At 34.2% G+C, this 24,926-nt stretch overlaps 1 protein-coding gene across 4 annotated transcripts in view; it reads right to left on the reverse strand.

Annotated features, from left to right (window-relative positions):
- The window catches only part of GRM5 (glutamate metabotropic receptor 5), a 561,341-nt gene that overhangs the window by 329,866 nt on the left and 206,549 nt on the right, over positions 1-24,926 (reverse strand). For all 4 annotated transcript variants that reach the window (NM_001384268.1, NM_001143831.3, NM_000842.5 and 1 more), the window contains exon 3: positions 15,399-15,648. In NM_001384268.1, coding sequence (NP_001371197.1) covers positions 15,399-15,648 — 250 coding nt within the window. The remainder of the gene's footprint in view (positions 1-15,398; positions 15,649-24,926) is intronic.

Consider the following 24,926-nt stretch of genomic DNA (forward strand, 5'->3'; position numbering starts at 1 on the left):
TCTAATAATATGAAGTCAGAGTACTGAAGAAACTACATCTATTTTCCCTGCCTTTGAAAGGAAATAAAACCTACGAAGGCTTCCTTTAAAACAGCACGTGTCCAAGAATGTATCTGGTCTTCCTTGTCTCACCACTTTACTAATAATTTGACTTTTCCTAATCCAAGTGATTGATTAGTTGAATGCATGTTTAAGCCTCATAGAAAGTGCTCATTTCTTCAGACGTGATTTGCAAAGGCCAGAAATTCACCATTCAGTAAGAAAAGCTATGAAATAGACCTGTCATAAACTCATGGGGAGGGTGTCCTAGGGAGTCACCTCTGTTCTCCACCAGGAGACTTTTAGCTGGCTTACTTGCAGAGAAACATATATTTAGTCTACTTTTTCGATTTTAGGGTGTGAGAATCCTGCCTTTTACTTAGGCTGACTGAGTTGAAGAGAACCGTTTTTCTGCCTCTCTATTACTGCCATTTTTCCCCCCCTGCAGTTTCAGCCACTCTAAAATATCTACAATGTGTTAGGTATGAAAGGTATGAAGATTTATAAACCTTTACCCACACTTTCAAGGAGCTTATATTCTAGTGTAAGAGGGAAAAGAAGAAAACAGAAAAATAAAAATGAAAAGTTCCAGGGATATTTAAGGGGTCTGTGGAAGTCTTACTGGAGTTCAGGATATCTTCCAAACTGCCTGGAAATGTCTTACGTGATAAACCTGATACATAAACCTGAGTATATAGGTAAAAGACAGGGAAGTAATTCCAGGGACAAAACAGTGTAGGTTACACTGTAAGCTAGATATGTTCAGAGAATTGTAATCATTTTGAGATAGAATAGGTGAAGATACAGCAGTGGGAAGGTGCAGAAGTGTGTCAATTCTGATATTCGGCTGGTATGCATCAGCATAAATTAACCCATTGGTTATGACTTGCATCTGTTTTGATTGGATCCACATCTTACTAGTTGTTACATATTTTAAATCTCACCTCTGAGTATCATAGGAAGTGACTGGCAGATTTTAGGCCATGTAGTGTATGCCAAATTACGGAGTGGAATATGATGGCAAAGGGGAGTCAACTAAGATCATTTTGCAAAAGGATGACACAATTACACTTGTTTTACAGAAAAAACAACTCTGAGGAAACTGGGGATGATGGGATGAGGAAAAAAGAAAAGAAGCATTTTTAATCCATGTTATTGATACAATTTAGCAAATGAGAGGTGTAAAAATAACTGTATTAAAAAGACTAATATCTATATCCAAAGAGTACATTTCTTATTAAACTTAGCACATTCTTTTATTTTAGGTAAAATTAAATCACTTTGGGTTGAATGAGGAGGTAGTTCAAATGCATTGCCTGTTGCAATTGCTTTGAACATTATGTTCCAGGATGTTGAAGTCAAAAAAAGCTCCTTTGTTCTGGTTCTCCTCTCCACTGAGAATCACGGCATTCAAGCCTGTACCCTCAACTCCAACCAACACTCCTAAGACTCTCCGATCTCATAACCCATCAGAAGCCCTTAAACCTCAAGAAGGATTGAAAAAAAAAGTGGAGTTTATGTGCAAACCATGACTACTTTTGAGTAATATTGAAAACTTAATACTGCTATGTAAGTAGGCATATTCATCTTCACAGATGAAAAAACTCTGGATCAGGAAGCAAACCTCTCCTGTAAAGGGTCAGATAGTAAATATTTAAGGATCTATGGGACATATGACTTCTATTAAAACTGTTCAATTCTGCTATTATAGCCCCAAAGCAGCCATAGACATTATGTCAATGAATGCGACTATGTTCCAGTGAAACTATCGTACAAAAATAGAATTCAGCTGATGGGCCTCAGTTAATCAGTCACTGTTTTTAGTATGATTTATCACAATGCCTGTCAACAAATAGAAATATACATATGTATATATGTGTGTATATAAATCTGTGTGTGTGTGTATATATATGTATGATAGTTCACATCTTCTGTTAATTCCACCAAATCATGTCAATCTTCTAGAAAACAGGCCAGGCGCGGTGGCTTATGCCTGTAATCTCAGCACTTTGGGAAGATGAGGTCACTGGAAATCAGGAGTTTGAGACCAACGTGGCCAAGATGGCAAAAGCTTGTCTCTAATAAAAAATATACAAAAATTAGCTGGGCATGGTGGTGCATGTCTGTAATCACAGCTACTTGGGAGGCTAAGGATGGAGAATCGCTTGAACTCAGGAGACAGAGACTGCAGTGACTTGACATACCGCCACTGCACTCCAGCTTGGGTGATAGAGTGAGTGAGATTCTGTCTCAAAACAAAAAACAAAAAACAAAAACAAACAAAAACAAACAAACAAAAAAACAAATCTAGAAAACAATAAAGAGCAAATGTTTTTGACTGGAATTCAGCACAGAATAATATTCAGTTTGCCTTTGTTTCTCTGTAGATGTTTACACACATTTATAAAGCAACTTCAAACTTTTCTGTTTACTAAAAACTAAAGTTTCATCAAAAAGTTTAGTTTCCTGAGAAAATGGAAGTGCAGTTTGAATAGTCCATCTAATTATTAAATTTTCTTGATTACAGAAAGTGTAATTGCTCCTGGTTTGTTAATCTTATTTTTTTTAAAAAAGAAACATTTTCAGAATCACCTTTAACTCTACATTTTCCTTTGTTTAAATTATCTATCTTGAAAATAGAGAAAAACATATTATCTTATACTGTAAGGACAAAATTTATTACTGAAATTGAGGATTATCAAAGATCCAGAGATGGTTTTCCAGAATGGTTTAGGATACAGGTTATCTTCTAATATCCTCACTGCCATTTACTGCCTGTGGGACCTTGAGCAAATTAGTTGTCTCTCTGTGTCTCAGTTTCTTCAGCTATAAAATGAAGTTAATAATAATAGCTTACAAATAGAATTGCTATAAAAAGTCAATAAATTAATACATGAAGATCAACCACTTAGAACAGTGCTTGTTAAATAAAGATCACTCTATAAAAAGTGATTATTATCAAAATGTTTTAAATATTTATCTAAACAAATGTTCGCAGTGTAATCAATCTCAAAGCCACCAGCGCACTTTGAGATGCAGATTACTTTAAAGCACAAGCTCTAGTATTAGAAGAGGGCTTCAAAGTCCTGGGTTGGTTTCATCCTGGACATAGGAATACTTCTTCATCCAATAACATCAAAAGCCCCTGTTCATTTTCAGTTGTCAGACCTACAGCACCTCCCACGTCAACTGGTATTATTTACATTTCAGCTTATATCTAGCAAGCAGAGTTGCCTTTAAAGACATAAGTTACGTCGGCCGGGCGCGGTGGCTCACGCCTGTAATCCCAGCACTTTGGGAGGCAGAGGCGGGTGGATCACGAGGTCAGGAGATGGAGACCATCCTGGCTAACACGGTGAAACCCCGTTTCTACTAAAAATACAAAAAAATTAGCCAGGCGTGGTGGCGGGTGCCTGTAGTCCCAGCTACTTGGGAGGCTGAGGCAGGAGAATGTCGTGAACCCGGGAGGCGGAGCTTGCAGTGAGACCAGATCGCGCCACTGCACTCCAGCCTGGGTGACAGAGCGAGACTCCATCTCAAAAAAAAAAAAAAAAAAAAAAAAAGATATAAGTAACGTCTCTGAGTTTCAGATTCTTCATCTATAAAGTTAGGTTAATATTACTCACTTCAGAAGGGACTTGTGAGAAATAAAAGAAATATCTCATTCTTTACATTTTAATAGGGGTGTTTGAGGGGAACTTTTATGCTCCAGGAGAGAAAAGCATGGAAAGAAAACACACAGCTTCATTCCACTATCTTCCTACTATCCCTTCTGGGGATAGTGACTCATCTGTCTGGTGAAACTGGAGAAGGGGTTAAGTGTGTACGACTCCATCTCTTCTTTTTATGGAGCAGTCTGTTCTCTGAACCTGAGTTTTTCTGTTGTCCTTCTGAAAGCTACCTATTAAAGCAAGCAAGTCCTGTGATTGTTCAGTCCTGTCTGTGACTGTGGGGATGGAGAAGAATATTTGGTCACAGATCAAAGATTTGGTTTTCATTTAGCTAATATATACTAATTCCATGACTTCTTGCTGGTATTTAATTTGAGGAAAGGGCTATTATTTAATGAACCTTTAAATCCCTAACAGTGAGAAATTAATATAATACTTTATGTGACTCTACAGTTACAAATGTTAAATTTGGCCTTACTTTAAAAATATCTTGCATTATAGTTTAACAAAATCTTTCTCTCCTCATTGTTTATAACAGATGGAGTAATACCTTTCAAAAATAATAAATGAAACCACTTATTAACAGTATAGGTTTCCTGGTTTCCAATCTCCACTGACTGTTTCTCAACCCACTGCCACACCCCTTATGCTACACACACACACACACACACACACACACACACACACATACACACACAAACTTCCTTCTCCACTTGCCTCCAAATTTAGGAAGAAAGGCCATCAAGTGATTTTTCTATTTCTAAACTTTTAAGCTATATCTGCCCCAACACATTTTTAAATTTCTGTTCTAGTTCTGTAGTACATCTTCTCAGTTGGTTTCCTCCACCTGGACTTTAAATGCCACCCCTTCCCACATTTTTATGCATTTTATACTATTCGTAACCCTCTTTTCATTAATTAAATCACCTATCCTACCTGGATACCAAAATTAACCAATTAAATAAACAACTGACCTTTGCATGCAAGATACAGATACTATATATCATAAAATTTTAAAAATCTAAAAATTATGAAGCTTGGCATTGTCTGAAGATCATAAAGCCCAAATTAAATGACAAGAGTAAAAATATTTTCAACATATTCCAATGAGCTACCTTCCTTAATTTATAAAGTTTTTAGAAATCAATAAGGAAAAATAAACAAAAAATGGTTTTAGTACATGGATAGGTAGCTTTTAGGAAATATTGACATAAGATAATATTTACTATCTTACTCATAATTTTAAAACTACAAATTAAAACATTGTGATGCCATTTTCATTCATAATATTATCAAAGTGCAAATGATTTAATAATGCCATGAGTTGACACAGAAATACAAGTGCTTTTCACTATACATTTTGTTCACCACTTAAACTATTTTTCATGATTATAAATTACATCTTTGGAGAGAAATAAAATGTTAATGTTAAAAAATCTCTCTTTACCTCATTTTCCCTTAAAATATACAGTTGACCCTTGAACAATGCAGGAGTTAGATGCAACATCATGTTACACAGTCAAATATCTATATATAACTTTTGACTCTCCTAAATCTTAACTACTAATGGCCTACTGTTGACCCAAATCCTTACAAATAACATAATCAGTTGATTAACACATATTTTTGTATGTGGTATGCATTATATACTGTATTCTTATAATAAAGTAAGCAAGAGGAAGAAATGTTATCAAGAAAATCATAGGGAAGAAAAATATATATTTACTATTCATTAAGTAGATGTGGATCATCATAAAGGTTTTCATCCTAATTGTCTTCATACTGTAGGCTGATGGGGAAGAGGAAGGGAAGGGGTTGGTCTTGCTGTTTCAGGGGTGGCAGTGGTGGAAGAGGCAGATGAGGTGGAAGGGGAAGCAGGAGAGGCAGGCACACTTAGTTTAACTTAACACATTTAAGGAAATGCATTTTTGCCTTTTTTTTTCATTTCTCTAAAAATGTTTCTATACAGTACCAATCCTTCTTCCACTGTTAGCTTTAATTTCAGTCCCTGTATCATAGAAAGGATCATGTCATAAAAGAAGTCAAAAGCAGTCTTGAATAACTGAAACCCTCCTGCCAGATTATCTAATGTCAATTTGCTTTCTGTTACTACTTCTTCAACATCATCTTCCTCCTCATCTGGCACTGGTCCAAAAGCACTCATCTCCATCAAAGTCATCTTCTGTTAATTCTTGTAGTGTGATGTCTGTTAGCTCTTGAATTTCTCCAAGATCCATATTCTGAAACCCTTTACCCCCACCTTTTTTTTTCCCATACCCATGATCTCATGATTTCCTTGATTGGCTCTATCATAAATATTGTGAAGTGATACACAAGATCTGGAAACAGTTTTCTTCAGCAGGAATTTATTGTATCAGGCTTGAGGGCTTTCAGGGCTTTTTCCATAACAACAATTGTATCTTCAGTGGTATAATTTTTCCAGACTTTCATGATGTTGTCTCTATTTGGATCCTCTTCAACCAGTTGATGATCCTTTCCATAGAGTACTGTGTGTAATGAGCCTTTATGGTCCTTATGACCCCTAATCTAGAGGCTGAATTAGAGACTTTGTGTCTGGAGGCAAGTAGATACTTTCCATGTTGAACTCATGAGGTTCTGGGCGGTAAGAGGCATTGCTCAATAGCAAAGGAACTTTATAAGGTAGTCCTTCCTAGCCAGGTACTTCATGAATTCAGGGACAAAGTGCCGATGGAAACAATCAAGGAAAATAGCTCTAAATGTCCAGGTCTTCTTCTTGTACAACCAAAAGACTGGTAGCTGATGTTTATCTTTTCCCTTCAATGCTAGAAGATTAGCAACTGTGTAGATAAGAAAAGTCATGATCATAATAAACCTGACTGTATTGTCAAAAAACAGGAGGGTTAGCTTACTCCTTCCTGCCTTAAATCCTAGAGCTCACTTCTATTCTTTACTAATAAATGTTCTTTGTGGTATTTTTCTGTACAGAATAGAGGACTTTGACACACATTAAAAACCTGTTACAGCAAATATTCCTTCTCCTCAGTGGTTTTCTTAATGGTGTCTTGGAACTTGTCTGCTGCTTCTTGGGCAACAGAAGCTGTTTTTCTCATTATCTTGACAATTTTTAAGCCAAATATCTTTGTAAAATTATCAAACCATCCTTTGCTAACACTAAATTCTCCAGCTTTAGATCCTTCACCTTCCTTTTGAGTAAGTCATCCTTTAATGACTTTGCTTTTTCTTGAATAATATTAGACTCTAAATGTATGCCTTTCTTATACCCAATCATACACCTACATAAAAGCTGCATTTTCAAAATTACAGAAAAAGGTATTTCCCCAGAAGAGCAAGGTTTTCACATCTGCTGGTGTAGCCACAGGGATGGCTTCATACGTTTCCTTTTCTTTCGTTATGTTGGTCTTTCCTTATGCTGGATTTGTTTATCTTGAAATGAAGGGCATCTGCAGCTGCAGACCGGAATCCACAGTACATATTAAGCAACTCAACTTTTTCTTGTGATATCATGACTTTTCTCTTCTTCTTGGGAGCAGTTTCAGCATCACTACTGACACTTTTGTTCCCATGGTGTTATTTAAGGTTCACAGTATTGCAAAAGACATGATAAAAAAATGTGCAATAATCAGGAACAATCACTTTTCACTGTAATGCATGATTTAGTGGTGAAATGCACAGTTCACAGGGAGATGATTAGCCTCATACTGTGATTTAAGCAGATACTCATAATACTTGAGATCATTGCAATATCAATAGGAGGTGGCTTTGAAATTACTTCAGTAGTACAACATGTACTGCAGTTAATTTTATGCAGTTATGATTTAATAGTAAATCTTTGTTTTCTCTTAATCAGGAATGGCTCACAAGTGTGCACAAAAGTTTTGATAAATTTTAACTTCTTATAATAGATTGGTGTAGATTTTATGGTAGTAAATGATAAAATAGTATATGTAAATATTACATTCATTTATCACACATATTTTCTTATTTTTAAAAAAATATTCCTAGTCAACATGGTTTGTGTGTGAGTTTGTCCAAATTATTGCAAATCTCAAAAATAAATTTCAACCTATCAACTGAAAAAAATATGTAAATGGAGACCTGCACAGTTCAAACTCATGTTGTTCAAGGGTGAACTGTAGATTTCATTCTTCATTCCTTATTAGTTCAACTTCCCAAAATACTGGCTTATATGTCATGGGTTCATTTACTCACCATCTACTCACTTCTTAGCTACTTCATTGTTAATCTGCTTTTATTACTCTATTCAGCCATGTCTTGTTAAATTGCCAATTCTCTCCACCTCAATAAATCCAAATGGCCATTTCAGTGTTATTTTCACTTGATCTCCTAAATTCAGTTGACACTGGTGGTCTTGCCTGTAAATACTCTCTTCCATTGGCTTGGATGACACAACACTCTTGGTTTCCCATCAACATCTCTGGATTTGCCTGTTCCTGTCTCCAATTTAGAGTTCATCTTTTTTTTTCAACCTAAATGCTGAGGTCCCTCAAAGATAATTTCTTAGAATTCCTCTCTTAATTTTAACAAACACGTCCTTGATTTGCTATTATCCTGATGAGTCTCTCAATTCTATTTACAGCCTATATATCTCTTCTGAGCTCTCAACTTACATATTCTCCTACCTAGTAGACTACTTTATCTTTGAAATGTACCTGAACTCCACTTATCCAAAACTGAACTCATGATCTGCTCTTTACTTCATATCTGACATTTCCCAAAGACCTCAGTAAAGGTACTATCATTCCTATTGTTAACTTTTATCCCACATTACAAATTAATGACACTGAATAGCCCAGTAGAAGAAAATTATGGACATGCCTTTTTATTGCACTTGATTTTATTGTAACTCCACAGATATTGCATTTTTTACAAATTGAAGGTTTGTGGCAACTCTGTCCTACACATCTGTTGGCACTATTTTTCCAATGGCATGGTCTCATTTTGTGTAATTTTGTTAATTCTCACAATATTTCAAACTTTTTCATTATTATTATATCTGTTATGGTGATCTGTAATCAGCGATCTTTTTCGCTTATATTATTATTTCAATTTACATGATAATTGTACACATTTATGGCATACAGTGTGATATTTCCATAAATGTATACAATATATAAGGATCAAATCAGGGTAATAAACGTATCCGTCACCTCAGACATTTATTATTTCTTTGTGTTAGGAACATGCTACTGTTGTAATTGGTTTGGGGCATCACAAACTGTGCCTATATAAGACCGTAATGAGGGTGGTATGTTCTGATTGTCCTACCCACTGGCTGTACTTCCGTCTCTCTCCCTCTCCTCAGGCCTCCCTAACCCTAGAGACACAACAGTATTGAAATTAGGCTAATTAATAGCCCTACAATGGCTAAATGCTCAAGTGAAAGGAAGAATTGTAAGTCTCTAACTTTAAATCAAAAGCTAGAAATGATTATACTTAATGAGGAAGGTAAGGTGGAAGCAAATATAGGCCAAAAATTAGGCCTGTTGCAAAAAACAGCCAAGTTGTGAATATAGAGAAATGATAAGAAAGAGAAACAGCCTTATTGCTGATGTGGAGAAAGTTTTCATGGTCTTGATAGAAGATCAAGTCAGCCACAACATTCTTGTAAACCAAAATTCTAATCAAGAGCAAGATCTTAACTCTCTTTAATCCTATAAAGGCTGAGAGAGGGGAGGAAGTTACAGAAGATGTGTAAAGCTAGCAGAGGTTATTTCACGAGGTTGAAGACAGGAAACTGTCTCTGTAACATCAAAGTGCTGGGTGAAGCAGCAGGTGCAGACTGATAGAGAAGTTTCAACAACATATTTTCAATGCAGACAAAACAGCCTTTTTTTGGAAGAAGATGCCATCTAACACTTTCTCAGCTAGAGAGGAGAAGTCAAGGCCTTGCTTCAGATTGTCAAAGGACAGACTAACTCTTCTATGAGGAGATAATAAAACTGGTGACTTGAAGTGGAAGCCAACAATCATTTCCATTCTGAGAAGACTAGGAAACTTATGAATTATGTTACATGTATTACTGTGTTCCAAAAATGAAAAAAACAAAGCCTGGGTGACAACACATCTCTTTAAAGCATGGTTTACTGAATATTTTAAGTCTACTTTTCAGAATTACTACACACACACACACACACACACACACACACACATATATATATATACAAAAATCCTTTCAAAATACTACTGCTAATAATTGACAATGTGCCCGGCCAGCCAGGAGGTCTGATGGAGACATACATGGAGTTTAGTGTTGTTTACATGCCTGCTAACACAATATCCATTCTTCAGCCTATGAATCAACAAGTAATTTTGACTTTCATGTCTTATTATTTCTAAAATACATTTCATAAAGCCATAACTGTCATAGATGGTAATCCCTCAGATGGATATGGGCAAAGTAAGTTGGAAACCTTCTGGAAAGGATTCACCATTCTAGGTGTCATTAAGAACATTCATGAGTCATGAGAGAAGGTAAAAATATCAGCAACAGGAGTTTGGAAGAAGTGATTCCAACCCTCATGGATGACTTTGAGATGTTCCAATACTTCCAGTCAAGGAAATAACTGAAGATGTAGTGAAAAGAGCAGGAGAACTAGAATTAGAAAGTGAGTTCAAAGATGGGACTGAACTCCTACAATCTCATGATAAATCTTAAATGGATGAGGAATTGCTTCTTATAGATCAGCAAAGAAAGTGGTTTCTTGAGGCGGAATATACTCTGGTGAAGTTGCTATAAGCATTGTTGAAATGACAACAAAGAATTTAGAATATTACCTAAACTTAGTAGATAAAGCAGTGATAGAATTTGAAAGGACTGACTCCAATTTTAAGAGCAGTTCTAACGCGGGTAAAATGCCATCAAACAACATTTCATGCTACAGATAAATACCACTTCCTTTTGTGAAAGGAAGACTCATTTGATGTGGCAAACTTCATTGTTGTCTTATTTTAAGAAATTGCCACAGCCACTGCCACCTTCAGCAATTGCCACCCTAATCAGTCAGCAGCCATCAACATTGAGGCAAGACCCTCAACTAGCAAAAAGAATCTAACCCACTGAAGGCTCAGATGATCACTTGCTTTTTTTTTTTAGCAATAAAGTATATTTGAATTAAGATTTATATATTTTTAGACATAATTCTATTGTGCACTTATTAGGCTACAGTACAGTATAAACATAACTTTTTTTTTTTTTTTTTTTTTTTTTTTTGAGACAGAGTCTCGCTCTGTCGCCCAGGCTGCAGGACAGTGGCGCAATCTGAGTTCACTGCAACCTCTGCCTCCCGGGTTTGCGCCATTCTCCTGCCTCAGCCTCCAGAGTAGCTGGGACTACAGGCGCACGCCGCGACACCCGGCTACTTTTTTGTATTTTTAGTAGAGACGGGGTTTCACCGTGTTAGCCAGGATGGTCTTGATCTCCTGACTTCATGATCCACCCGCCTCTGCCTCCCAAAGTGCTGGGATTACAGGCATGAACCACCGCGCCCCCCCCCACTTTTTATATGAATTGGGAAAACAAAACATTTGTGTGATTTTTATTGTGATACTGTTTTATTGTGGTGGTCTGAAATCAAACGCACATTTTCTCCAAGGAATGCCTGTATACTTGTTTGAAAATGACTGAATTTGGAATAGACATTCTTGCTACATGTAAAGATAAAGAATAATATCTACCTCTGGGGAATAGCCACTATCATAGTTTGACTAGAAAAACTGTAATTTCATTGGCAAGGATATTTCTTACAGTAAGTTCTTATCATTTCCATTTTGAAAAATATTGATGTAGATTGACCTCTAAGAAATGCTTCTTATAATCCTCAAGTACTTTTGAAATTTAAGTACATTTCCTTTTTGTGGCTTTGTAATAATCATCGTAGTAAAGAATATTCTCAAATTATTCAAATAAAGTTAATTATAGATCAAATGAAACTATCTTTTCAGTTGTTAATTTGCTAAAAACTAGTTGTTTCCAAGTCTTATTTAAATTTCTAACTTTTAAATAATGTATTTCAAGTAATTCTTTCCCAGATCTAGAACAAGACAGTGTATTCATTCTAGAAAATAAGCCCCTTAAGAAATGCCATTACTGTTCAGATTATTGATCTCAGCCTGCTGTCAGAGCCAAAGTGTTTAGCAAGACTATTTCAGGGACCTGAACAGGATATTTTTATTGGCAATGAGACAGCAGATTACCCACAGCTCAAATGGAAAGACCTAGTGGTGAGGTGTGTATCATTCTAACATTCTATTGATGTGCAGCACAGATGGTGAGATGTGCTGATGGATGAGGTTGTCTCAGCAGCAGAGTTGTCTTAGTCCTGCCAAGCACTTAAGTTGAACGACCTATTAAACATGGTTGACCTAAGGCAGTTGGAGATATTTATAAGTAACTACAGCTATTAAATGTGGACCTTCTAGTAGGCTCTAAATATAGCCTTTTTTTTTTTCCACATAGCTTTGACTTCTAGTTCCTAAAGCCATTCATTCAAGTTGAATTGGGGAAGAGAAGGAGCAAAAAGAGAGATTTTCAGAATATCTGTAAACAAAATAACACTAGAATACTGAAAGAAGTTATAGCGTGAACTAAATAAAAATTTTCAGGAGGTAGCACTGATATAAAATACTAATTAAAATTAAAAATTTGAATTATCTAAAATTTTAAAAAAATAAACTCAGGTTCTATGTAGAACCTAGGGTTTGCTATCAAATAATAACTTCCCCTCTGTTTCTACTCTACAGAAGACAAGTTAGTAGAAAAGTACACTGGATTATAAGTTATGGTAGTTGGGTAATTGTGTCATCCAAATTTTGGAGGTATCAGTTTCCTCATTTGTAAAATTAGAGTTAGTAGATGTAAACTTTTTCTTACAAACTATTAACTTTTGCTTTTCTGTTCCATTTCACACATCAATATTTATTGAGTCTTACTTAGAACTCCTGTGTATAAAATAGAATAGTACTTAATATTTAGGTTGTTCTTAGATATGGGTTTTTTCATAACACTTATATGACCTTCTATCTAACTTATCTGTAAGTATCATAAGGGCAATAATTATTGTTTTTTTGCTCATTGATTTATTTCAAGCACTTTTACATATAGTAAACACTCAACATTTGTCAAATAATGATTAAATGAAACAATACATGTAAAGTGCTTAGCACAGTAATTGGCACAAAGTATTTGATAAATGGTCCTATAAATGGTTCTGATAAGTGGTTTTATTAACACCCACAGTGCCATCTCACTAAGATAGTTGGAAGAAGTTAGGATATTTCAAAGAGAAGTTGGAGAGTACTGAGGACCACACTGTTGTTCCCAAATATTTGAAAGAGCATCACGTTACTTTTAAAGAAAAAAAAACATGGGCCAAGAGGCAGAAACTGCAGGGAGACAGTTTTAAAATTTGGAGTAAGGAAGACCTAACAAAACTGCTCAAAAATGAAATGAACTGATGTTCAAGTAAATGTCAAATTACTAAATAGCCAGTTAATGTGGGGATAAAAAAAATCTAACTAGAGGCTATAAATTTAGTATTCCATGAATTAAATGATATGGAAAGAACTCTATGTTTATCATATACAAAATAGATTTTAAAATACCCAAAATATAAAATTTTGCAATGCTTCTGGAAATAAAATCATACATGGAAAATGGCAAATATTATAAAAGCCAATCTATTTACTTAGTGTACATGGGATCAAAGAACATTTGCTTTTTGGCAAATACACCATATGACTGAAAACAAATGCTGCTGATTTTTCTTATTAATGCTGGCAAATGGAGCAGATAGGAATCGTGGAATTCTTTATTCCCTATCAGAAAAACAGAACTACTTAAAGCTAGATTTTTTTTCTTTTCTGTTATTTTTACTGCAGTGGTAACACTGCACTTCAGAATACAGTATAAGAATATTGGCAGTTGGCATGTTTGTGGGTTGTATGAAACTAACTGGTACATCATTCCTGCCAACTAGCGACGATTTTGACAAAATATATGACATTGATAAAAAAGGAATCTCACTCAATATCATTTTTATTGAAGGATGTGTGGCCTCATACCAAAATAGCCCCATCAATCTATTGCCATCAGATCGGACAGAAAAGAATTGGGTACATAAAATGGCTGTCATAAAATGTATCCCAGCTGGAGCTAAGTCTGATCACAGACGGTCAGTTAAGCATTTGGAAAATGAAGGAAGTACATTTCCCTTAATAAGCCATCAAAAGTTAATAACAAGTGACTTGGCTCTCTATTTGGGGCAGAAATCCTGAGAAAGATGCAGTGGATTCTAAGGTTTTTGCTGTTCTTTACACTGGCTACGTGTTAATAAAAAGATATATGGTACATAATGTTTTAAAGGTATGCAATGAAGAAGCAGCTTCCCTACCACTTATAAGTTCCAGTGTTACCATCTCAGAAGTGCACCTCATTCACACATTCAAAACTACGATGTTGTCTTACTAATTATGATAGTTAATTTTATGTGTCTAGTGCCTGGGCTATGAGTGCCCAGACATTTTAACAGACATTAATCTGCCTGTGTCTGTGAGAGTGTTCTGGATGAAATTAACATTTGAAGCAGTAGACTGAGTAAAGCAGATTGCCCTCTCTAATATGGATGGACTTCAAACAATCAACTGAAGACCTGAATAGTATTAAAAGGCTAAGAGGTAATGTTTTTTGCCTGATAGCATGAGATGGACATCGGTCTTTTTCAGTCTTCAGACTTGGACTGAAACATTGGCTCATCTTGAATTGCAAGCCTACCAACTTTCAGACTGCAAATTAATATTATCAACTTTCATAGTTCTAAGACCTTTGGACTTGGATTGAAACTACATATTGGCTCTCTTGGGTCTTTAATCACATGAACCAATTCCTTGTAGTAAATATCATATGTGTATATATATATATACACACACACATATGTATATACACACACACACAAATTTATACATACACATATATATGTGTGCAGGACACATATATGCATATTTTTTATTATATATGTATATACTTTTGGTTTTATTTCTCTGGAGAATTTGACTAATACACTGATTCAGCCACAACAACAGGGAATGTGCTGAGTTGTGTCAATCAAGTGAATTATCCAGATAATTAAAGTCAATCTCTGTAGAAGCTGGTATTTTGGTATCTTGTCTAGAAACAATGTAGGTCACCAGGCACCTACATTTTTGTGATATAAAATAACAAGCCAATTTTCTAATGCTTTAAAAATGTGCTCTGAAAGCAATCCCTCATTTTCAAACCCAAAATTCTATGATTCAACATTATAAACCAAGCTCATGTAGTCATTCTCAAAATCAGCTTTAAAAGCAACTATGAGTTTGAGTCATGTTTACTTTCCAAGTGAATTACTCAAGCATATAAAAATCCATTTCATTACCTTACAGTCATGGTTTTTAGGACTTAAAGATGCATCATCTTCATTTGTTGATTCCTGTTACTATTAATCAGCACATGGCGGATCTACTTATTTTCCATGATTTTCTCCAGGCACAGGTGCGTTATGAAATTTAAGCTCTATTTCCACTGCACAGATTAAGCTTTGAAAGAATTTTTTATCATACACTAAAAGCTACCCTTCAGTGCTGCCAAATTCCTGGTATTAACTCCATGTAAATTTTCTTATTATCACTCACCTGCCCAGAAGCAGAAATTCTCCCGCTAGACCCAGGCGCCTCATGGCCATCAGCAGACCTCTCACCGTCATGCCCTCACAGAAGCAGGCCACCACCCGGGCCTTGGGCAAGTGACTTGTGAGCTTCTTCAGCAGCTTATCAAAGCTCTGCTCCCCTGCATTACTGTAGATTTTGTAAGAGTGGGCGATGCAAATCCCTTCCTTCGCTGACATATCTTTGAAGGCTTCCATCCCACTTTCTCCATAGTTGCCTGTGTGAAAACATAGATAAGCAGAGGGATAGTGAAATGAGAGTGTTGCATTAATTGGGTATAATCAGAATGCAGGTGTTAGGAGCATGAAAGTCATTGGTATGGGACTTGCAACCTGAAGACCTGAATTTTGGTTTTTGCTCTTTTGCCGAATTGCTTATTTTGGGCAAATTACAATTGAACCACATTATATATGCATTGATCATTTATATTTTCACTGTGATGGAGAGAATAATATAAAAAGTGTAAGCAATTCATCATCCTTTTATGACTCAAAATAGCTCTTATTCTAAATATGAGCTGATGGAAATATTTATCTGCTATTTTTTTGCATTCTATCTCACTTCCCTTTACTTCTCATTAATGACAATTTCATCCCACTGAGATTTTTGTATTTAAAGATATAGTACATATAAGTAATACATGTAGTTTATATAGTATAGATGTTGCCATATAAATATTTTATAAAGTATTATATTATATATAATATTCAGTATATTATATACTTATAATCATGAGAATTTATGGTTTGGTCTTAATTGAAAAACTGAGATCCTTGCTTAAGATTTAGTCTTGTCGCAGGTGAATGTGTAAACTTATGAAAAACATTTACAGTTTTATCCTATACAACCATGGGGAAGTTATTGATAAGGAAAAAAAGTTCAAAGTCTTTTGCAAAATTTGGGGACTAAGGACAAATGTTAGTCTTTAAAAATTAATGAAAAGGGGATTAATATTGACAGTCAGCTATATGCCAGGACACAAGGACCTTTATATATGTGATCTAATTTAGCACTCACAATAAAATATTGATGTAGCTATTATGGGCTCCATTCAATACATAGATCAGAAAACAGAGCAGTTAGGTCCATATTTACCTTGAGTTACACTAGCAGTAAGTGGAGGGCTGAACTCATTCACAGATCTAATAGCATAGGTTCTGCTCCCTCTACTTGTCTAAGGCTGACTCTTGGGAGTCTCAGAATTCTAATTACATCCGCATTTCTCTTTCCCATTTCAGAGTGACAATTCTCCAATTTTAGATATTTTTGGAACATTTTAAGGCTCTATATTTTATACAGGGCTCATATTCTGAATTTTCAAAATATTAGATATATAAGGGGGATTGCTTTGAAGAATACAAGAGGCTATTACAAGATAACCAAGCTGTAGAACATATAAGGATGTGACTGACTTAAAAATCAACTTGACCTAGGAACTGGAATCTCATCAGGAGGAGTAGATATCAAATTAATAAGGAGCACTGTGGGCATTCAGTTGCATAGGGTTCACTACATGTCTATAACTGCAATAAATACAACTCCACAACAATTTGATTTTGGGAAAGTCAGTTTATATATGTTAGCTCACTGCTCCTTACAACAACTCTGTGATAAAGGTTAATGTTCTCTTCCCTTGGCTGATAAAACTGAAGTTCAAATACAGATAGTAGGTGTCAGGATCTTAGTTTGAACACAAATCTCTGATTCCTGTCCTGATGTGGGTGCTACCATACCACAGGTACCTTGCTGCAAATGAAATCTGTTAACTTTGAGGGTGGATTTTGGTGAAGTTTTATCTCCATGAACAAACTGCAAAGGGCAGAGCAGAGCAGGTCAGCTTGAATCTCAGCCAAAAATACTGGTGGGCCAGCTGCATCTTTTCCCTCCTTCTCCAGAATTAAAAGCAACAAGAAGCCTCTGTCATGATGGCAGGTGGGCAATCTAGTTATTTTGCAATTAACAAAGTTTAAAGGGCACTTTCTGAAAAATGTGCCAAAGGGCCTAAATTACCAGTTTTACACTAATGTGAGTAATCTATTATTCTTTCATTTATTTTTAGCTAACTCTGTTTTTCAACAGACTGTCTTGCATTTCATGTTTTGATTTAAGGCAGAGGCATTTGCATAAATAATTTGAAATTAGGTAAGTGATTGTGATGTGAATTTATCGAGAATTTCACATCATTTATTTACTTTTATTCTCAATACATTCACTGTTAAACAAGAAAAGACATCTAAAAAATTCAGATTATTTAGCATTTTGTTCCTAACAGCTTTAACACTGTTTATGTTTATATAATATGTTGTAGAGAAGCAGCTTGAAATAGTGGAGAGAACTTTGTTATTAGAGAAACCTGAGTTCAACTTCAATTTATATAGTCTTTTTAATCTCAGCTTTCTGAAGTAACACTGCTTAATATCCAGATATTTTAATATTATATTTAATGTATGTAAACTATCTGGTAGGTCACCTGAACCCAATTAATTGAACCTACTGAAATTATAAAGAATATTCTAGACAGAGTTTAGCTACTCTTTACTGGAGCATCCAAAACAAAACAGTGGAGAAAATGGCACTATTACTGTACACTAGACTAAAAAATTAAGCTTACACTAGCAGAATAAAGTATTATTTTCCCAGAGCAAATCCCAAGCTGTACTCTTTAAAATTAAAAAAGGCAGGGGGTATATGAAAAATTTTCACTCAATTTTGCAGTGAATCAAAAACTGCTCTAAGAAAGAAAGTTTACTTGAAACATTTAAATAAGAAACAGTTTTAACACATGTGTGACATAAAAATTTTACAGAATATAATTTTGATTTAACAAAAGAAATCCTTTGTAAGCTGGGAGACAAAGAGAATATGTCTTCCAATAAAATGGAAAAGACTGAAGTGTTGAGACTTTCTGGTAGTTGATAGAAACACTGTATTCTATAATTATACATTTTAAAATAATGAAAAAATGCAGCAAAAAAAAGTCTACAGGCTTCTCAAATAAAAATAGAACACATTTCAAGTAATATGTAGAATGAGGAAAAAGCTAAGGAAGTAACTATTACTTTTTCCAATAGAGGGAAACAAGTAACTGAGAAAGAAAGCTGTGGTATAAAATATGAAACTAACATGTGACTTCATTTTAAATAAATAGAAGTAAGACAGAATCCATAGAACGTTCTTCTTTAGGTAGCAGAGGGTTTACAACTTGGAATTATGTGGAGAAAATGTAATCATAGCCCAATGTCTTCACTCGTAGCTCACGCTACTTACAGGTATAACGATGCAAATGTCAATCATTGATTTTCAACCTTAAGAATCCACCTATAGACAAATGGAAAAACTCATTATGCAATAAAATATATTTGTTATCAACTTTTACAATGACAATTAAAGAGAAAGATGATGAAGTCTGAGAGGTAGATGCAGGGAAAGTTGTTGGGAAGAGGAAGGCCATTAAAGTCACTCACTCCCAATTTGGAAGTCAAGATATACAGAAAATAAAATGTATGTGATTAAGGGAATTATTTGATGCTAAAATAATCAGGAGGCAGCTAATGTAGTGAGATAATTATATTAAAAGAAGGAATAAGAAGATGTACAAGGTAAGAGATAATGTCTATAGTCATTTAAAAGTAGTTACTTTTTAAAAAGACATATTCATATTAGAGATATGGAGGTGAAAATAAAAGGATGAAAAACTAAAACACTTTTTTTCACTTTAAGCTCTGCTGTACTATTTGACTTTTGAAAATATGAAAATATACATTTAATAAAAAAATAAACTAGCATACTTAAAAGTCATTGAAAGGAGAGAGTTGATGCAGATAATTTTTAAAGTAATTGTCTTCTCTCTGCTTTATCATTTTATCCTGTTTTAGGGATAAAATTCACAGAAGTTCTTTATATGCTACTCTTGGTGGAAATGTAAATTAGTACACCCATTAATAGAAAACTTCACGGAAGTTCCTCAACAAAACTAAAAACAGAATTATCATATGATAATCACCCCTACCCCTGGCTACCTTTCCAGCTAATTTTAACTGCACTCTCATGTTCATGGCAGCATTATTTACAAAAGCCAAGTTATATCCATCAACAGATAAATGAATTAAAAAATGTGGTGTATATATATATATATATATACACAATGAAATACTAGTCAGCCTAAAAACCCTAAAAAATGGGTTTAAAAAGAAAAATTTCTGCCATTTGCAACATCAGCATATTATTCATTTTTGTACCGCTAATGGGACCTGTTAGATAACTAACACATGTTGAATAAAGAAATAAATTATTGAATGAGCAGTACAAAATAATCAATGTCTATTTCCAGATTAAAATAATTGCCCAACTATGTGACCAGCAATCAGGATTGCCATATTGTGTCTAGGGGGCGTCACTCTAATAAGCTATTATAAAATATTTCACTTAAAACATGAACAGAGTTGCACAATAATCAAAATATTTACCCTGAGGACCCCAGTTTTTTCCTCAGATCGTAACAGATTTTAATAATTCAACCTCAAATACTGTTTAAAGCTAGTGCTTTCACTAATACTATTTGACCTGAATTTCATCAGCTGGGATCTGGAAGTATCTGCCTACATTGACCCTATAAAGCACACATTGGAAACAGGATTTGTTAAAGAGTAACTATAAAACTTTCTTCTGTAACAGAGACTGGGGACCCCAAAAGGGAAGAGGTCAGGAAGGGAGTAAGGGTTGAAAAATTATTTATTGGGTACAATGTTCACATCTGGCTGATGGGTACACTACAAGCCTCAAATCCAACAAAGGGCAATATACCCATGTAACAAACCTGCACATGAACACCCTGGATATAAAATAAAATTAAATTAAATTAAATTATAAAATAAAAAACTTTCTGCTAACCTAGGAAAAATGTTTTATTTGAACTGTATATTAAAAGGCACCAAATCATACTTTAGTAAGTAATTTGTAATCATAGGTAAATGCTATTTCAGATGGTACAAATTCAATATCATTAACAACTGTGTTACATTGGCCACTTTAAGATAAAGATAATAAAGTATAACAGCATAGACAAGGTGTACCTAGTGAGATTTTCATTTTTCTGGCAAAATAGCCATTAAATATATTGTTTCAATTTATCAATCTCGTGTGGTAGGGAAAACTATCATTAGAATCAAAACCAAACTATTATAATAATAGTAAAGATACAAGTAATTTTGTTTTCTTTGATACTTTTCTTTTTTTCATAGTATCTTTACTTCTCTTTCCATAAATCAGACCCTGATTCACTGCATAGAAGCTTGTATACTATTTTATCTATCATCTCTTATTTTTCATTTTCCCAAACCCTACCAACCACTATTTTTTGTTTGGTACTTTTTACTATTCTCTTTCATATGTATCACAGACACCCCACATATTCTCATTTATTTATTTTTACTAATGCTGTTCTTTCTACATGGAATACATTTTTCCATGTTGTACAAATTCAATTCCCTAGATTCCTTTAGGCTGGAGACTACATCTTCTCCATAGTTCCATTATTTAATTACGGTATTTGTATAATCTCTGTAATTTGTAATTGCTAAAAAAGTTTATAATTGTGGATCCTTCACCTTTATAACAAGGCTGATTATACTCATGATTTATTTGATGCTGAAAACTTGGTTAAAAATATAAACAACGATGCTGAATTTTTTCTTAGGAAACATAGCTCACTTTAAATAATGTGTTTTATCATGGGATTTCTAAAATGCCTCAGAGTCAGGAAATGAGTTAAGGTACTAAGTATTATAATAAATTAAAATAGATTTCTGTATTATATATGTTGCCTATTGCATATATTCATTATATTTTGGATGTATTTACATATCCTTCTTTTCAAAACTGTGAGCCCATAGAGGGTAGTTAATGCTTTATTTAACTACATATCATCACATGGTAGGTACTTACGTATTTCTTGTACAGAAAAGTAGTACAGAAAAATAGGCAAAAAAAATTTTGGAAGAGTAAATACATTTTTCTAAGCAGAACACCAAGCAGATGCTAAAAGAATGTGGAAAATACTTTTTCAGAAAGTATTCACTTCAGGAAATACTAAATCTTTGCAAAGAAAAGGAATAAGTGTAACCTTCTACAATAGAACTTTATTTTCCATCTTAGTTGGTCCAAATTATCTTTTCCTCACAAGGAAATTAAGATTCCCAATATAAACAATTATTTTAAAGTATATTTCAAGTGGCTTTAACTACTAATATCCTGTTGCTACTGTAAACACAGTTCATTTTACTGACAACTACTAGTGAAGTAAAATTTTCTTTCCTTATGTCCTTATTCTATGAGCTTTTTACTATTTAATGTTGTTGTTTTTGTTTTTCTTACTTTTTAAACTTTTTTCTTAAAAGTAAAGACACAAACAAACATATTAACCTAGGCCTACACAGGCCAGGATTGTCAATATCACTGCCTTTCACGTCCACTTCCACATATTGCCCACTGGAAGGCCTTTAGGGGCAATAACATGCATGAAGCTGTCATCCCCTATGATAACAATGCCTTCTTCTGGAATACCTCCTGAAAGATCTGCCTGAAGCTAATTTATGGTGAATTTTTTAAATGTATATAAGTAGAAAAAGTACACTCTAAAATAATGATAAAAATATAGTATAGTTAATACATAAATCAGTAACATGGTCATTTATCATTGTTATCAAGTATGATGTCCTGTATATAATTGTATGTGCGGTATCTTTGTACAACGGACATCACAGTAGGTTTGTTTACATTTGCATCACCACAAACACATGTGTAATACATTCTGCTATGACATGATGATAGCTATGACATCACTAGATGAGAGGAAGTTTTTAGATCCATATATAATCTTATGGGACCACTGTGGCATATGCAGTCTGTCATTAACTAAAACATCATTATATGGCATGTAACTTTTAATTTGTTAAAATTTGCAAGTAGGGAATGAGCTAACAACAAAGACTGATTGTGTAACACGCATACTGATCTTTTTCACTCCAATGGTCTTTTTCATATCTGTATGTGTATAGATGATACTTAAGTTGTGCATAGTTTTTCATGATTTTGAACACTGTTACAAGAAACAAATTTCCTCCATTTTTGATTGTTTTCATTTCCATAAAGTAAAATCCTGAAATAAAAATGAAATTTCTTGGTCAAAATTTGAAATATTGGTCAAACAGTGTAACTATTTAGTATTTTAGCAAACTTGCTCTCCAACAAGTTCCCACCAATTTATACTTTGATTAGAAGCATATGAGAATGCCTGTTTCTCCATACCTTCACCATTACTGGTTATTGTCATGTTATTAAATTTTTGTCACCATATTGCTTGAATAAATGAGAGTTGTTTTAATTTTCAAAAAAATAAAAAATAAAACTCAGTCATCTCTCATGTGAGTTGTGACATTAGTCTGGCATGATATCATCCCCTAAATATACATATAAGCAGTGTCCAGTCTCCACTTCGTGTCCTTTAATGTGAATTAGAAGTGTTCATCAAGAGATCTTAGCCCAAACTGCCCATATTGACAGGGTTGTGGCTTAAACTAGTGATTAACCAAAATGGCCAGGAGTGGGAAAAGCTTGACAGTGAAGCACCTCTTCTTATTTTATTAACAGTTTCATAAAGATGTTCTTTTGTTTGATGCCATTTTTCCCACTACAGCCATATGTGCAATGGATGTGGCATTCTAAACTCTGTATTACACTCATTTGTTTATATTTATCTCCTGTTACTAGACAGTGTCCTTTAATGCAGATATTTCTTTCACAACAAAACATTGTATATACTTATTTTTATGCAAATAAAGAAGGAAGTTAAATGATGCAAGAAATGTGTATACATATTTTTATGGAAAGAAAGAAGGAAGTTAAATGATCCAAGAAATATTCCTAAAAATTCCTATATAATTGAGATTTAGGTGTTTAGGAACCTGGACATATGATTAATGTGAAAGTTTTAAAGCCAAAGGACTGGAATAAAAAGTTATCATTATCATGCACCTTCATCAAGGTACCTGAATTATAAATGTCATGGATACGAAAACTTTGTTAACAAACAGTTTTCCAAGTTTTGAACAATGGCCCAATTATTTCTCATCCTGCCCTGGAGTCTTTCTATAACACGACCCATATACCACAGCATTAAGCATAAGGCATGGCATTATTGAATCTCATCCAAGGTGTTTATTATTGGAAGTACCAGAAGGATCTCATTTAGAAAATTTGCTTTAGTTATTACTCTAGGAATGGATTATGTCGTAACATTTGATGAACTCTTCAACAGTAAATTAAGCAGAAAACAAATTGCTAGTATAATTATGTAACAAATGTAGATAAGTTATAAGTTTATAACTATGCATCGCCCCACTCGTGGATTTTAAACTATATGTATAAAACATTATTTAAAGGAATACTAACCAGGGCTACTGAATATTGCCATAAAAGTACATGCCAAGTGGTTTGCTGAGTGGTATGCTGAGTTGGTGAATTTTCTTCTGGCTATCAAGTATGGAGTTAGAGAAAGAAGTTTGATCTTAAGAGCAAAGGTACATGTTGACCAAATAAATTTAGATATGGTAGAAAACAGGAAATCAGATTATTTAAAGAAGAATACGTGACAGTTTTAACTGCCATACATGTTGAGGACAACAAGTTTGAGTGTCATATTTGGTTTGGTAGATTCCTGAGCCCTGGAATCGAAAGTTGATTCTCAACATGTATCTACTCCCTCCAGCAACTCTAGTTCATATAACTGGGTTGAATGAACTGATACAAACATAATTGAAAGAAAACCAAATTTGGAAAGAAATTTTTAAATTTCTGTGAAATAGCCAAGTAGAAATGCCAAGTAGGAAATTAAATAAGAACATTCTGGCTAAGAGAATAGAAGTCTGAATTGGAACTATTTGGGAGTCCTCAGTATATGGATAGCAACAATAATAGATAAAAGTGTAGGAAGTGAAGGAAAGAGAGCTCTGAGTTATACCCTAAAGAATTCAAATATGTGTGCATTAACTGAGAAGGAATAGCTCACAAAGACAATGAAGAAGAAGAGAAACCAAGATAATATATTCTTATGGAAATCAGGAAAAGAAACTGTTTTTACACTCTTTTTTTTAAAACACTCTGTTGAAAACTAAAGTAAGATGTGTAGTGAAAAAAATCCACTAATTCTGGCAACATAGTAGAAGATATATAGGAGTAGGCTTGTGTGAATGGGAGTAAAAAAAGTGAAGACAATATATTTATACAACTTTTTTGAGACACTTGGCACTGAACAAGAGCTAAGAGTATGGTGGTGATTAGAAGAGAATCTGGAAACTCAAGAAGTTTTCTTTGCTCATATTAAGAAGGGGTTATTTTAGGTAAAGTACTTAGCCCAGAGCATGGAACAGAGTAAGCACTGAATACAGGATTTTTTTATAATCATCATCATCACCATCCTCAACATTTATCTAGATCCTG

The sequence above is a fragment of the Homo sapiens genome, chromosome 11, assembly GCF_000001405.40.
Source record: "Homo sapiens chromosome 11, GRCh38.p14 Primary Assembly".
Classification (NCBI taxonomy): Eukaryota; Metazoa; Chordata; class Mammalia; order Primates; family Hominidae; genus Homo; species Homo sapiens.